The sequence below is a fragment of the Homo sapiens genome, chromosome 22 (assembly GCF_000001405.40).
Source record: "Homo sapiens chromosome 22, GRCh38.p14 Primary Assembly".
Classification (NCBI taxonomy): Eukaryota; Metazoa; Chordata; class Mammalia; order Primates; family Hominidae; genus Homo; species Homo sapiens.
Window position 1 is genome coordinate 27,045,816 of NC_000022.11, and position 17,411 is coordinate 27,063,226.

The 17,411-nt window shown below is 44.8% G+C and overlaps 1 long non-coding RNA gene across 1 annotated transcript; it reads right to left on the minus strand.

Annotated features, from left to right (window-relative positions):
• Positions 1–2,328: 2,328 nt before the first annotated feature.
• On the minus strand, positions 2,329–15,423 carry LOC284898 (uncharacterized). Its single transcript, NR_164796.1, has 4 exons — positions 15,173–15,423; positions 14,294–14,759; positions 4,144–4,301; positions 2,329–2,665 (listed from the first exon to the last, which is right to left on the minus strand). It is a non-coding gene; the product is annotated as an uncharacterized LOC284898 (long non-coding RNA).
• Positions 15,424–17,411: the final 1,988 nt, after the last annotated feature.

The following is a 17,411-nucleotide window of genomic DNA, read 5'->3' on the forward strand; positions in this document are numbered from 1 at the left end:
TCTCAGGTACAGAGCTCTGAGCTGGAGTCACCAGTTGCCTGCTTAATTACCACGCCCCATTTTCCCTCATTCTGCGGCCTCTCCATTAACCACCAGCTACCAGCTCAAGTATAAAGGCAAACAATAAATATTTGAAATGGCATTACCTAGTCTGGGGTCTTTAACACTGGTTGAGTTGGGTCTCTAGATGAGGAATACAGGTGGAGTTTTGTGGAAGAGCAGCCTCCCCCAGCTTCTCCCTTGCACCACGACTTTGCCCAGTCTGCAACCTCCTTCCTTCTGAGGCCACTCCCTGCCCCTCAAATATTTAGACCTGTTAAAAACCATTGGGGGGAAAAATGATCTATACAAAAGCTTTGCATAAAAAAGTGATCAATGCAAATTCCTCTGAAGAAATTGCTTCAACAGATGGAAACGGCCCATTTGCAACAAATGCCTCTGGCTGTGCAGATGGTAATTATGGGATGTATGTAAACATGCAAGCTCTGGCAAGCAGAGCAAACTGCACTGCTGAACTTAGCCTGCATCAGGGCTGCCTGCCCTGGCACTGCCCCTTCCCTGACTGGCCCATAGGCCAGGAGTTCAAGAGGATGGATGGTGGTTTGGAATTCCAGGACCTATTAACCTCTATTTAATTACAGGTCTTTCTGAAAAGGTCCCTGTGAGGCAATCCATACATTCTCTAATCTCTGGGTGGACCCAGGCTATGGCATGGCCCCTTGGAAGAAAGAAATCAACAGATATTGAGCTCTCACTGTATGCTAGGCACTGTGCTGTTAATTTTGAATGTATTATTTTGTTTAATCTACATAAAGACTCTGGGAGGTTAGCCTTATTACATCATCATGATCACCACCATTTTGCGAATGGGGAAATGAAGGCTTGGAGACCAGGTGAAGTGATTATTTTCAAGATCACAAAGTTAGGAAGTAAGGGGACCAAGATGTATCAGTTAGCTGTTGCTGAGTAACAAACAACCCCAAAGTTCAGTGGCTTTGAACAACAAGCATTTGTTATTGCCTACAAGTCTACGGGTCAACTGGGCAGTTTTAGTAGTCTGGGCTGGACTCAGCTAATCATGACTGGGCTTATTCATGCAAAAAGATGGATTTGCATAAGTCTGGTGGTTGGCTGACTATTGGACCAGGATGATGGAAATGTAGGGCCATGTGTCTCTAATTCACTAAGAGATCATGGTAGATGAGCAAGTTCCAAGAGAAATAGCAGAAACTCACAAGGACTTTTAGGGCCCAGGCTTGGAAAAGGCACCGGATCCACTGCACACATTCTGTGGGTAAAGTAAGTGACACTGCCAATACAAATTGAAGAGTTGGAGACAGACACAACTATCTAATAGAGGGAACTGAAAAGACACATTGCAAATGGCAAGGACACAGGAAGGTAGGGAAAACTTGGGCCAGTTTTGCAAGCAAATAAATCAAATAAGACTTGAACTTAGAGTCCTCTGGCTCTAAGTTCAAATGTTCCAAGGCCAGCCATGATGGCCCATCATCCTAGAGATGACTTAGCCCTTCTTTTCCTTCTCACCCTGACTCTGTCTTGTCTGCATGTAAGTCTTAGCTCATCTCTTCTTTCTCCCAGTGATTCTCACTCCCACTCTCAGCCTCCCTTCCTTGGACATCTGAATTAGATGGCATTTTGAGCAGGAAGGGAGGAGTTGGCTCATTTGAGCTCTGTTTCTATCTCCATTTGTTTCTATACCCTTTTGGGTCTCAGACAATCCCTCATCCTCCCTGAGCCTCAGTGTTGCCATCTGTACAATATGTAAGATGGAGAAGATTCTATTTGAGATTGCTTCCAGGCAAATTCTTCATGATTCTATGAGTAGTAAGTGGTTCCCTAGCCCTAGTGGTCTAGCTCATGCCTGTACCTGTCCTGAAATTACCACCATCCTAGTCTCTACTTTAGGGAAATATCTGGCCTCCAGAAAATCTATATTGGATAATTTATATGTATAAAGCTTTGTCACTGGGAGTCAGCATAGTGTCATGGACTTAGTTCTGGAATGAGATAGGCCTTGGTCCAGGCAAGCTTCTTCAGGCAATCTCCTGGCTACATGACCTTGGGTAAATCACTTGTTTTTTCCTCCATCAGGCCAGCCTGGGCTTGTTCTCATGGTGCATGGTCCATGGTGCATGGACTCTCTCTCTAGAGTCCAAGAGAGAGAAGAATTGCAAGAGGCCCTTTGAGATACCAGCTTGGAAACAGCACAGTATCTCTGTTCCCATATTCTCTGAGCTTCTGTTTCTTCATCTGCTCGCAAGGTTACTGTTCATTAAATAGCACATAGTAGAGGCTTAACAAATGTTAGTTACTATTCACTTATTTTATTTGTGCCATAGAACTCTTTTTTCTAGACATTATCTCATTAAAGTCCATGATACAAGACAGGTGGATATTTTTATAGATTTATTTCACTTATGGATGAAGAAATGGAGACCTTAAGAGAGGGTGTGACTTGTTCAAGACAACACAGAATGTCAGCAGCAAAGCTGGGGTTGGCCTCTTGACCCACAGTCCGGTGCTCATTTCATGGTAACTCATCAGACCCGTCCCTCTCTTTCCCACTTATTATTCTGGTGTCCAGAGTACTCAACTTTGGCTTATCATGAGGATGGAGTGGGGAGCCTTGGGAGTGGAAGGGCTGAAAGGGAAGAAGCATGGTCAGGAAGAAGCAATGAGCTTGGGCTCAGGTGATACATAGACTTAGGTGTGCATGCCAGATCTGCCATTACCTGACTTAGTGACTTCACCTCTCTGAGCCTCAGTTTCATTGTGTGTAAAATAAGACCACTGCCAAGATTAAATGAGATAAAGCTCATATAGGAGGTAACACATGGTAGGTACTTAATACATCGTAGTTCCCATTTTTCTAGCAATAGTTGCCAAAATACTGTGTTGTAGGGGGATGGTAGGGGAGTGCTTCAGGAGAGTATATGTAATGATCTCACTGCCACTGTGTCTTTGCTTGTCCTGGGTGTGAGTCCTGGATTCCACTCCTGGAAATGCCAATTGCACTTCAAGATTTGATCTCAGAGGACCCAGAGTCTCCAGGACCTGTTTGTGACATGAGCTTTATAACTTGTCTTGCAATATTCTCCTTAATGATGATGATGACAACATTTCACATTGAGCAAACATTGAATCATTTCATTCACTCATTCAACAAGTATATTCTCTTCTGTGTCAAGCACAGGAGATACATACGGATATATAAGATAGGGTCCCAGTCCTCCCAGGTTGCAGGCTACAGAGGGACATAGTCATGCAAACAGACAAGTTTTAAAGCTTTAAGGTGTATCTAATCTTTCAGTAAAATATACATCCCAGAGTCCTGCCACTGGAGTCTGATTCAAGAGGTCTGGGGCCTGCATTTCTGAATAAGTGTTCTTTAGGCCACAGTTCCAGAATCATTGGCTCAGATAACAGGGTTCTAAACATTTTAGAGTTTTATGCAATCCTTCGTGTACCTCTTGAGAGCTTCTCATATCCATTATTTTACTCCCAGTCACTTCCAATACTTCCTTTCACCACATGGCCTTTGTACTCACTGCTCTGTCTGCCAGGGAGTCCCTTCCTTCCCCTCTTCCTTTAGTCCTAATCCCTTCTCAGCCCTAGTCCTCAGAGATGCCGTTCCCCATCTATCAGACCAGGCCAACTACTGTGACTCCATCTTAACCTCTCTCCTTAGTGGGGATATGATATATACAGTTACCCACTGCATAACAAAATAGCGGTCAACAATGGACCACATATATGATTGTGGTCCCATAAGATTATAATGGAATATATATAGAAACCTGATGAATAGCATTTGATATTGACATTGCAGATCAAGTAGGAAAAATGACTGATATTCAGTAATGGTGCTGAAACATTTGGTTTTCCATATGAAAAAAATATTAAGTTGGTGTAAAAGTAATCATGGTTTTTGCCATTACTTTTAAGGCAAAACCACAATTATTTTGCACCAACCTAATATGTAAATAAAAACATGCAAAAATATTAATACCATCTAGGTTTGTGTAAGTACCCCATGATGTTCGCACGATGATGAAATCGCCTAATGACACATTTCTCAAAACGTATCCCTGTTGTTAAATGACGCATGACTGTATTTACATGTTGTTTGATGAAGGTTTGTCTTCCTGCTCTAGAGCCGTAATCCTTGTGAGGGCAGGAAGTCCATTTGTTTTGTTCATCTCTGTGTCCAGTGTCCTGTGATTGTTGAATAAATTGCTGAGCAAGGCAATGAATCATCCAGGATGCTCAAAGACCCCCTGAAATATATTCATAGGCCCCAAGTTAAACTTCGGTTAGAGGTATCACCCACTCCCTTCTGCCCCTTTAAGCTCTTTCTGTTTGCCAGTATGAATGGGTGGGAGAAAACACAGCTAATCTCTCTCATCTTTAGTGACCAGAACAAGGAGAAGATTTGGAAGTACCTAGGAGGCAATGTAGACCTTTCTAACTAGTAGAGATGCTTCCAGGTGGAGCTGGCTGTCTCATAATGTAGTGATCTCACCGCCACTGTGTCTTTGCTTGTCCTGGGTGTGAGTCCTGGATTCCACTCCTGGAAATGCCAGTTGCACTTCAGGATTTGATCTCAGAGGACCCAGAATCTCCAGGACCTGTTTGTGACATGAGCTTCATAACTTGTCTTTCAATATCCCCCTTAATGATGATGATGACAATGTTTCACACTAAGAAAACATTGAATCATTTCATTCACTCATTCAACAAGCATATTCTCCTCTGCCGATCACAGGAGGTATATAGGGATAAATAAGATAGGGCCCCAGTCCTCCCAGGTTGCAGGCTGCAGAGGGACATAGTTATGGAAACAGACAGTGAAAGTTCAGTGTGATCAATTCCAGGATTTTCATAGAACCCGGAGGCATAAAAGCACAGAGAAGGCGTTGAACACTGTTAAGGGATTAGGGAGGACTGCCTGGAGGAGGAATGACTTGAGCTGCGCCTTGAAGGAAAGTAGAAATTAGCCAAGCAAGTCTGAGGTGGAAAAATGGGAAGCAGCATTCCAGGTGGAGCAGTCAAAGCACAACCATGAAGCTGGTAAAGAGCATGTGGTGTTCTGGGAGCTGAAAGGCATCAGTGAAAAGGTGGGAGGATGTGTGACTTTGAGAGCTCCTTCAGGCAGCCGCAGTGGAGATGGCAGGCAGGGGCCAGGAGAGAGAGAAAAACCAGTTAGGAGAGAGACTGAGACAGAGGCGGATGGTGGCAGTGAGGCCTAGAGAACCAACCAGACCCAGGGAATGTTACCGGGGGTTGATTCCATGGGGCTGGCTTCTTACAGGAAGCAGGTGAGGCAGAAGAAGGAGGTTGTCCAAGTTTCTGGTTTGAGGGTGGTTCCCTTCTTGGGAAGAGAAATGCACTTGGAGAGGGATGACAGGTTGTCATTGCAAGCTCTGGAACTGAGAGCAGCAAGCCATGACCTCCATGCCTATCATGAGCACCTTTGTGCATCCGTGAAAAGCAACCTTTAGGAAGAAGCTCTTGATCACCAAGGCATTGTCCTCAGTGCTTTGCAGGGAGAGGTCATCAAATCAATGCTCTGAGTAGGAATCGCTCCTAACTTCACTTTTCACCTGAGGAAGCTGTGGCACAGAGAGGCTAAGTAACTTGCCAGAGATCACACAGTCAGCCAAAGGCAGAGCTGGGAGGTGAGCTTGGGCAGTTCTGTGCCACAGTTTATGTACTGTGATAATTCTACACGCACACATGCTTGGAAACAAACAGGCTGAATGTGACGTCATGCATTAGTAGAGGCCCATCAACCCAAGTAAGTTGGCCCAGAGGAATGGTGGAAAATGGAAGGCCCCTGGCTGTATATGGCCAGCAGATGTGATGACATTTTATTAATGTAGAGTTGTGAAAATTCTGAAGTCTCATATCTAAATTGTACTCCTCTTTAAAAATTAGATCTGGTGACACCAGGCTGACATCCCTGCATGACATCAGACTTCCTGCCTTGGCAGGAAGAAAAGGGTAGTGCTGCCTTCTTTCAATGAGACTTGTATTGCCCATTGTGCCCCAGTCTCCATCATTCCCTATTTCTCTTCACCTGGCCCACCTCGCTCCCTCATGTGCACCTCTGTCCAGCCCCTGTAGGTATTTGAGTCTGTAGCCCCTGAACTCAGAACCTCTCTGGCACTAAAATTATTTGGATCTGTTCTATCTCAACAGCTCTGTGAAGAAGATAGTATTATCATACACCAATTTTACTGGTAAGGAGACTGAAGCTTATAGAGTAGAAGGGACATGTTTAAAGCCTCAAACCTCCTGAGTCTGGCCTGGAGACAGAACCCATGACTTTTAACATCCAACCCTCTATGGAGAGGTTAGAGGCCTAGGCTAGGACCCCAAGCCAGAGCCAAAACCTCTCCCCAAGGCCTGGCCAGGTACTTTTTCCCCTGATTCTGTTTCTTCATCCTTCAGACACTGCAAGGAAGCCAGATTTCTCCCCCTGCTGCCTTCAGCTCCCCCACTCACCCCCGCATTGATCTCCAGCTTTACGAGGGTGACGGGCCATACCTTTTAATTGCATTATTACATCTTTATGGTCTGATCATTGAGCTGGGCAGCCAGGTGCTGGAATTTATATGCGGAACTGAAACGTTTACTGGAATCATATTGATAAAGGCATATTGTGAAAAGGCCTGTGGCTCTTAAGAAGAGACTGGGGTTCTCAGGAGACAGGGAGAAGGCAGGTCAGAATACTCCCAAGGAGAGAGTTGGTCACTTGTGAGATATGAGGGCAGGGCCTCCCCTCATGCCCTTCCCAACCCTTAAATATTTCCTCTTTCATCTGCCTGTTAGGAGCTGGGTAGGAAAGAAGAAATGCCTGCAAAAGGTACAGAGAAAGGGACTAGGAGATTTCTGAAGGGCAGCAGGATTCCAGGTTCATGGACTAGTTGGGATGGCAAACACAGGGATTGCCCCTGTTGACATGAGGGAGGGCCCTTCAGGTAGAGGCTTGGTATGAACAAAACATACAGCAGGGGCCACGAAAGGACATAATGGACTTTGCTTGGAGCAAGCTCTACAGGGAACGTACGTGGCCTGCTAGACAACTCCATGTGACTGTCGTGCAGGCATCTCAAACAGAGTGTGCCCCAAATGGAACCAATCCTCCCCATTCTATTAGCAGGTGTATCCATTGCAGGCAATGACAAATCCACCCTCCCAGGTGCTCGGGGAACCTTGGCGTCACCTTTATCTCTTCCCTTTATTCCACTGCTCACCTTCCACTCCATCACAACCACTGTGGGCTCTACTTTCAAAATATTCTGCGACTTTAAGCTGCCCTTGCATTGCCACTGTTTCTGTTGTGGATGGAGGCCCAATCACCTTTCCTTGGATTCTTTCAGTAGCCTTGGAATAAAATTTTGATTCATTCATCTTCTTCTCAGCAAGATCCTCCCTGATAACCCTACTTTAAGTCACAATCTCTGCCATACACTACCGTCTGCTGCTTGACCCTGATTCATTTGCCTTCATAGAACTTTTTTCTATCAAATGTGGTATATAATTTATTATTACTATTATCTGTCTCTCCCACTACAATGTAAGTATCTTAAAGGCAGAACCTTTTATTTTTTATTCTCTGCCCTAGCTCACATCTCCAGCACCAAGGACAGTGTCCAGCGCATAGTAGGTGCTCTCTCTCTTTCTCTCTCTCTCTCTCTCTCTCTCTCTCTCTCTCTCTCTCTCTATATATATATATATATATATATATATATATATATATATATATAAAGAGACAGTAAGAGACAGGCTGTCTGTCTCACTGCAGCCTCGAACTCCTGGACTCAAGCAATTCTCCTGCCTCAGTTTCCTGAGTAGCTGGGACTACAGGCATGCACCATCATGCCCAGTTAATTTTTAAAATTTTTGTACAGATGGGATCTCACTATGTTGCCTAGGCTGGTCTCAAACTCCTTGCCTCAAGTTGTTCTCTCACCTCAGCCTCCCAAAGTGCTGGGGTTACAGGTGCAAGCCACCATGCCTGGCCATAAATATTTGTTTAATGAGCTCAAGAATGGATTTGGTTGGAGCCAGGTCCTGGGGTGGGGATAAGGGAGATCTTCCATGTTGCTCTGGAAGCTGAAGCATGCGCCCTGAGCTCTGATTTCCACCCGGCATGAAACTATGTGTTAGCAGAGTCCTTACCCACGTCTAAGGCAATCAGCATGCCTTCTCGGAGCTCTGAATTAGTAATATCACGCGCCATGGAGTCAACCCTAAATGGAGAATTTAGAAGAGGAATAGCTCAGGGGTTAATTTGAATGTATTTCCGTGTCTCAAAATCAGCACATTGTAGGAAAAAGGGATCTGCTTAGCATAGTAAATGGCATTTGATGCGTAGCCTCTTTCTTTAAGTATGATCTGGGTCGTCTGTCTTTTTGATTTTGAGATGATTGTGGTACCCAGTTGAAGGGTGATTTGATGTTAATTGGTGGCAACTAATTAGACCCAGTTTGTGAACTCTCCCAGGCTATAAGCCATGGATGCTTTGGCTCAATGTTATAACAATCACTGTCCTTCTTTAAAATGGTTCTCTCTTTGATGAGAAACACTGGCATACAGCTAAATGAACCTCCAGAGATCTCTCCTAAAGAGGGGCAGAGTGGATGGTATTTTAGGGCTGGGATCCCAAGTTGGAAGGGTCAGATTACAAAGTTTAGGCCAGATGTCTCTGGGTTCAAATCCTGGTTTAGCCACTCAATAGCTGTGTGGCCTTGGGCAAGTCCATGACCATGCTGGGCTTTAGTTTCCTCATCTGTGTAATAGGTAGGTTACAGTTTTATTCCCAAAGTTCTTGGGAGGCTTACATTAAATAACTAGAGAAGGGAGATTGAGTGCCTTTTATTTAACAGTAACTGTGGCTAAGTATATCCCAGTTGCTTCATAGGGACATTTGAAGATTCTCAAAAAGTATCCGTTAGGTGGGTATCTGAATGTAAGAGTTATTGTTGAGTGAATGGATGCAATTCAGAAATTATAGGAACGGACCACGTGTCCAACGAAGAAGATGGCAGGACTCGGTATTAAAAGTATAAAGACTGTTCATGAAAAATTCCAAAGTTTCAGAACTTGAAGGGGTCTCTAAGAGCCTTCTCGTTTTGAAGGTGAGTAGAATCAAGTCCTAGGGAGGGGAAAGTGATGGGGCCATGGACGCACAGTGAGTGGAGGACAGAGTTGAAGTTGGAACTAAGGTGCCCTCTACCCACAATGTCCCCAACTCAGCCTCTTCACAGGTGCACATGGGAGAGACAGGGGCAGAGTCTAGAGCTGTGGTTCAAATGTTGGGTGGGGAAAATAAACAACACTCAGAGACTCCTTCTCAGCATCCACTAAAGGCCTGGGAACTCCCCATAGTAGAAGACGAACAAGGACAAACCTCATGGGTGTCAAGGAGATACGAGAAAAGGAAGGCACCATAATTAATAACCATCAGCAATAGATTGTGTTGGGGTGAGCATTGAGATGTCTATTGATCAAAGATGTAAACACAAATTGCTGTCAAGTTTCCCTTCACCCTGGGTCAATATGCTTCACATACAAACAATCCAGAAGCTGTTCTTGATACTGGAGATGTCTTAATCAGGGTGGCCAGGAGAGCTTGCATCCCTCAGAGATGTCGCTGCGTTGTGAGCTAGTCTAGTATAGATGCTTTTTTCATTCCTTCATCCATTTGTTTATTTAACGTATCCTAAATGCTTACTACATGTCAAGCTTCTTGGAGGCGCTGGGATAGAGCAATGAACAGGAAGGCAATCCTTGCCCTGATAGTGCTCACAAAATAGACAAATAAATAAAGGGGATAATTTCAGATGGTGATGAATGCTGTGAAGAAAGTCACATAAGGGTAGGGGGATAGAGAATGAGGAGATGGTGTCTTGCTGAGATGAGGTGACTGGGGAAGGCCTCTCTGAGAGATGATGACATCTGTGCTAAGACACCAATGAATCAAAGGAGCTAACCTCATGATCCAGAGTGAAGGGTGCTCCAGGGAGAGGGAACAGTGTATGCAAAGGCCCTGAGGTGGGAATGAGCATGGGATGTTGGAGGAACATAAAGGAGGCTGGAGAAGAGTAGAGTGGCAGGAGATGAGGTCAGAGAGGTGAGCAGGGACCAGGTCACGCAGTCACATCTTCCAGGGTAAGGAGGTGGATTTCATCTAAGTGATGAGGCCATTAGAGAAGGATCAGCTGTCCCCTTTCAGTGTGAGCACCTCAGCAGTGAAGCATTCACCTAGAGTAAGGGACAGGCTCCTGGTTGGAGTCCTGCAGGCATGGCCTGGGCTGAGCATGAAAACTTGGGCAAGGTCCTCCCCACAGTGAGACCCCCATTTCCTTATTCACAACATGCAGGACTTGGGCTCATGAATCCCCAGCTCTATCATTCTGGCATTTTTTTTTTTTCAAGAAGATGAGGTACAAATATGCCATTCATTCACATGTGGGAAAACCCTGGCCACTGGGTCGCAAGGCTCTAGTGACCACATGCATGGGTGGCAGGTAACCACACTGAGTGCAGGAAGCCCGGCAGAAAATCCAAGGAGCATCCAAGGGCATCCTTGAGTTCAAGGTCACCTCCTCACTCAGCCCTGGGTGTCCTTCTGTTTGACCTCCATATATCTCAGATGCCAATGTGACCTGGGAAAGCTGGTTTGACCCATCACCCTTTGGGGTCTAAACTGGATTCCTGGCCTGTACAGGCCCATAGCACTCTGAAGATACAGGTTCCTCTGGGTAATGTAGAATAAGCTGAGCTCCTTCCTCAGTTCCTATGTCTGTGGGATGAGGGAGGCAGTGATTACAGTAGAGAGGAGGAAAAGCAACATTCTGAAAAGTGCTTGCTTGAGAAGGGCTCCACCTGCAAATGCAGGTCCTGGGCCCGTGTGTTTCCAGGTCCATGCTGATAAGTGTGGGTGCATGCCTGTGTGAGGCTTCCTGGGCGTATGTGAGTGTGAATGTAAGTACCAAGCAGGCAGGGGCTGTGTTCCATTTCATTCACTGCCGATTCCCTAGCACCTGGCGCGTGGTGAGTAATCGATAAACATTTGTAGAGTGAATGAATAAATGTGTGTTCATGTGTAAAAGTTAAAGTTATCTGTTTTCTAACTTGACAATCTGTTATTTGAGCTTTCTGTCCAGGAAATACATTGAGAAAATACTTGGCATCACTATCTACACCCACCGTTTCTTTTTTTTATTTATTTTTAAATCTTTATCGACGAACAACGTGCATGTGGGAAAGTGTAGACATCAATGTGTGCGTCTTGATGAATTTTCACAAAATGAACTCCCACGTAATCGACACCCAGATTAAGAATCAGAATGTTCCCAGCGCCCAGTTCAGTTACTATCCTTCATGGATAGCCATTATTCTGTCCTCTAGCAACATAGACTAGTTCTGCCTGCCTTTGCACTTTATGTAAATGAAATTGCACAACAGGTTCTTGTGTGTGTTTTCTCCTTTCACTCAATATTATGTTTGTGAAAATCACCCACGTTTCACAGGGAAGTTATAGACAGCTGATTTTCATTCTTACACAGCAGGAGTCGGTAAGTTTGTTCTGGAAAGGGCCAATTCTGCTGTTGTAGTACAAAAGCTGCCATCAGCAATATATAAATGAATGAACCCGGCTGTGTCTGATAAAGCTTTATTTACAAAACAGGAGGTGGCTGGATTTGGCCACCGGCTGGATTTGCCAAGCCTGTGATATGGTACACCTTTCTGGGAATATGGCACAATGTATCCACTTAACTGCTGATGGACATTTGGGTAGTTCTCAGTTTCAGGGATTAGAGGAATGCACCCAGAACATTCTCACACATGTCTTTCAGTGCACATATGCAGTCATTTTTGTCAGGTGTGTACCTAATGTGGGATCTCTGGGTTATGGTGTTGGCACCTGTTCAGGTTTAGGAGTTACTGTCAAACAAACAATTACAACACTGCTGGTTCTTAATTAGGTGAGCTTTTGTGTTTTCATATGATGCAACTGTTTCCTTTACTTTGTGCTGTCCTGCTGGTTGGTACCTTGCACTGCTTGTTACTGTCACCAGGAATTGCCCTCAGAGGTTGCAACTTCATCAGAGGCATGCTGGGAGGGTAGCCAGCAGCTCTTGAAACATGGCTGATCCTTAATGCAATCTGGAATCAAGGCATAGGCAACTCAATAACTCAAAGGAGTCAACTGTGATGAGAGTTATTTACAAGTAAACTCTTCTCTCTGGTGTATTAACATATCCTGTCACTTCGCCTTCCATTGCCTTTACCACCACAACCCACCTTGCATGGCAAGCAAAGGAGGCCTTCCAGATAAAATGAAAGACTGGGTCTTTACCAGTTCTGCTTGGAAATAGCCACTCACTTCTGTTCCTAAACAAGCTTACCAGTTTAGTGAACCATATGTTTCTTTGAGAATCTTCTCTTTGAAGACCTTTGAGCCATTCAGCCCAAAAAGCCAACTGATATGACTCTGGATTTTTGTAAGCACCAGTCATCATCATACCTGCACCATGGTAGCTAGCACCATGCAACATGATGGCTGAACAAGCACACACCTGAGTTCAAATTATGCCTGTTATCATAACTTCCTCTGGCTTCAGGCACGTTATTGAACCTTTCTGTGATTCAACTGCTGGGCATCATTTCATCTAATCCCTCCAGTGACAATATTGAAGGAGGTACTGTCATTATGCTCACTTTAAAGATCAGGAAACTGAGGCTTAGAGATGTCAAGGTCTTGCTTGAGTACATACCCACATCTGCATCCTGAAATCTAACTTTAGAGACTATCTGTGGCTCTTAAGCACTGGTTCCAGTTAGGCAGCCAAATAGTTTCCTTTGGAAAAGTCACCATTTTGTGTTTTTAGAGTCCTGAGTTTGGCTAATCAGGAACAATCTCCTTTTCTTGGAGAAATAAGTCAATGTTGGATGCAGTCTTATGGAAAAAGCGGCTTCCCTCCAAATTCTTGTAATGAGACAGTCCTCGCCGAGGACAAAATATTGAGGTCTTTTGAGGAGATGGCACCTCTTAGTCAGTGGAGATATGCAAAATTTTTTTTTTCAACAAAGGACCTGCTGTTTTAAATTTCCAACAAATGGCTTACTGTTTAAATGCTGGAAAGGAGTGGGCTTTTAGTACCATGGGTCATCTCTGGGCTGGTAAGTCAACCAATTTTGAGCATCAAGTCAGCCAGAAGTGAAACTGGTGTTTTCAAATGTATTTCCACTTCCTCAGAAATAAAAGCTGTTTTTTTGGAAAAATTAAAATTACATGATCCATTATTAAGTATAAGAGGCAAAGTGCTGGTGATACTTCCTCCATCAGCTGATCATGGTTTGCCTGACAATATTTCATTCAGTCAATAAGTGTATAAGCCTAGCACATTTATTGGTATCACTTAGCAAATATGCCCATGGTGTTTACCTGTGGAAGTGGACAGCTAGATTTCTAGCTGAGTGGTTCGTGAATTCACCTGGTTTAAAAACTCTCAGGAAGGGCTGGGCTTAAAGTTCCACCAAAAAACTGCCCTAGGCTCAGGACCTGTTCTTTGAACACCATCAGTCATATAGGAGGCCATTTACATCCAAGATGGAATAAAAACCAAGATGGCACCCTACAGAGTAAACACCAAGATGGCGCCTTACAGAGTAAAATCCAAGATGGTCACTATGGAACCAAAGGTGGCCATTTGCACCCATGGGCTACTGAGGTTGCGAGTGGCAGGACATAAAGTAACTTGGAGGCTAAGCCCACAGCCCTGGAAGGGCCAGAAACTGTAGAGAGTGACCTATGGATCCTGGAACACCAAATGACCCCAGGGCTGAGAACCTGAGCCCCAAAATACTTGATTGCCCCATCAGAGATCCCACAGAGGGAAAGACGCCCAACTTCCTAGCCAGCATGAGTATGGATGGTGAAGGGTAGATTTTAAGCAGGACCACCGAGGCATGAGAGAATTCCTGTTTCCACTTGCCATTTTCCAGCTGGGACATTGTTAAACACCACTTTCTGTTAATTAAGCATTTCTGAGAGGCTTACACTAGATTGCTGGCAAGAAGTGAACAAAGCCTGGCTGACCTGTCTTGTAGGTACTTGGAGGTGTGTGAGGGAAAGGGGCAGGAATGTGTGGCACAGGCAAAGTGACAACACTGTCCAAGAAACAAATTGCCACCTTGGGAGCAGAGAGACGATTGTTCCAATGATCAATGTTGGAAAACCAAAGGTACTCACCCATATCTGGCCTCGGCCTGGCTGCAGACATAACCTGGAGAAAGCAATTCACACTGATTTTTCCCAGCCCTGGGATCCACCTTCAGCCTGGGATCCAGGCCTTCGGTAATGAGCAGCCCTGGCGAATGAGGTTTGGAGTCGAAATCCATCTGAGGGCTCTCTCCCTGCCAACGTCTACAGCTTAATAATTGCTTCCTCGCTCCTGCTACATTCAGGTTCAAGAGGAGCGTGAGCCCCTCCAGCAGCATTATGCAAATAGGGCCCACTCCGTTCCGGCGGCATATAGAATATGTAAATTTATGGCGGTGGTGGAGGCTGTTTAAGACAGAAGATTTCTCAATGATGAAATTAGATTTTCTGGAAAGAGGCTTCCGAGGACCTGTCTCCGTTCCTCTGCCTCGTGCTGTGCTGTAGCCACAAAACCGGGGCTCTGGGAAATAGTTAACCGAATTACAGTCTCAAGCCTCTTTAAAAAAAAAATAAGGAAAGAAATAGACCAGGTTTCATGAGGCCACAACAAATTCATACTTTACAGAATGTGTAAACAGGAAGGGAGGCTGAGTGGGAGGGAGGGAGGCTGTTGTGGAGCATGGGCTCTGGCTAGCAGGAGGCATTAATGCAGAGCAGAGAGGCTACAGCATCACCTTGGCCTTCACACCTGGCCCTGCGGAGCCTCCAAGCAGGGGGACAAGGATGGGGAGAGTGAACAGAACCGTGGGTCCTGGTGGCTGCCTCACCCTTAATGCTGCAGCTCTGATCTGCTTCCTGTGCCTGCCTTTTCATGAATTTGATAGAAGGAAGTATTGATGTCATTTCAAAAAATGCAAAATTAGCAATCTAGACCAGAGGTTCTCAAACTTGAACATGCATCAGACTTACCAGGAGGGCTTGTGAAACACAGATTACTGGATCCCACTCCCAGAGTCCCAGAATTAGTCCATTCAGGGAGGGCTCGAGAATTTGCATCTCCAACAAGCTCCCTGGTGACGGCTAATGCTGCCAGCCCAGGCAACACACGTTGAGAACCATGGCCCTAGAGTACTGTTTTCATTTGACAGACGGGGGAAATTGAACCCCAGAGAATTAGGTGCTTTGCCAAAAGTCACACAGTGGAGTCAAGGCCCAGGTACGGATCTACCTCTCTCCACCATTTTTGTCCTTGGTCATTGTCATCATCATCACCATTGTCACTGTCATTTGCTAAGACCTTTCAACATGCTAGGCACAGTGCTAGGCACATGTATGCCTTATTCATTTAGCCTTTACTGCGGTTCTACACGAGAGCTGCTGCTATGATCCCCACGAGGATCCTGAGGTTCAAATTCAAATTGCTTCACCTCTTGAGCCTCAGGTTTCTTATTTGTAAAATGGGGAGTTCTCATCCTTCAGAATGTTGGGAGGATTTAATGAGATTTTACACTTAATGTGCTCAGCACAGAGCCCAGCAAATGGAAAAGACTCAGTTATTAGATATTATAGTAATAATAATAATAATTATTATTAGTCAAGTTGTGGGGATTAGGAAACAGAGTGAGGTTATGAAGTGAGATTAAGGATTAAGAATATAAAGATCTTGATTTCAGTCCCTAGTCCTAAACTCACCTGCTGTAAGACTGGACAGGATGGCGTCACCCCCATTCTCTAAGGTCCAGCTTTTGTGAAAAGGGGTGGAGGCAACTTAAAGGTCCCAGGTTACTTTCAGCTGTAAAATTCTCTGATTCCATAATTCCAAGATTGGGATAATTTATCCCCCTCCCCACATTGCCCCAGTGTGGGTACTATCCCTCCTCTCCTGGGCTGTTACCCAGTCTCCTCCTGGGCTCCTTGCCTCTGGTCTCAACCCAGCCAATCCACCATTCTAAAATTCCCAAAAGCCAACCTGATTCTGTGCTCTGCTGCTGAAACTTTCCATAGCTCACTATTTATCTGCTTTCAGTCAAGTCCGACCATCTCAGCTTGGCAGTTGAACTCCTTCATGACCTGGTTACTTTAAGCCCTTCATCTGCCTCTCCCTCTTCCACTCTATTTTCCAATAATATGTAGAAGTACATTTTACTGTCAGTGTGACACCATACTGTTTCCTGCCTCCCTACTCTGGTTATTGTACCTTCTGCCTCATAGTCCATCCCTGCTTTTCTTCTCTCCCTCTGCAAACTATTTGACCTTCAGTGCTCAGCTCAGATATTTTGTGCCCTGAAAAGGTTTCCCTCTCTTATCTTCTTCCTGTCTCCAACCCCAGGTTGGATAAGGTATTTTATCTGAGCTGCCTATAGGCATCTCATTCTAGTGCTTAATAGTTTACATGGTAATAGTTTACTGACTTTTCTGTCTTGTCAAATGGACAGTGACTCGTTCAAAGGAAGAGACAAGTTTATTCATCAAGCTTTTTGGAAATTTCCCGGCTTGTTGCTTGTTTGATCTGCTGTCTGTAAGTCCCATGAGCGGAGGGGCCTTATGTATTTTGTTTGCCATTGTCATTGCAGTACTTATCACCATGCCTGGCACATAGTCCATGTTCAATCCTTGAATTAATAAATCTGAAATCCCTGCTCATTTTCCTAGATACCTTACTAACCATTATATCCCTACTGCCTAGCAAAATGTCTGGCATGGAAGTGCTCAAGAAATATTTGCTGAATGAACAAATATGTGAATAGAATGAATGACTTCACATATAACTATATCAGTCAGCTGTTGCTGTATAACAAACAGCCACTAAATCTCCATTGCCTACAACCATAAGTATTATTTCTCATCTAGCTTTATTCTGCAAGTAGCTGGGGCAGCCCTGAGCTGCAGGTGGTGCCTGGCTTGACTCTGCATGTCTGTCAGCCTCTGTGTATGAGCAGGTTAGCCAGAACATGCTTCTTTCATGGCAGGGACAGAGATGCAAGAGAAAATGTGGAAACCTGCAATGTTTCTTAAGGTCCCATCCCAGAACTAGCACACTGGCCCTTCCACTTGTATTCCATTGGCCAAAACAAACCATGTGATCATGCCCAATGTGCAGGATCCACCCTGTAGGAGGAGAGGCTGCAAAGTCACATGGCAAAAGGCTGGATAAAGGGAGAGTGAAGAATTGGGGTCAATAATTCAATTCACTCCAATGACCAATCCC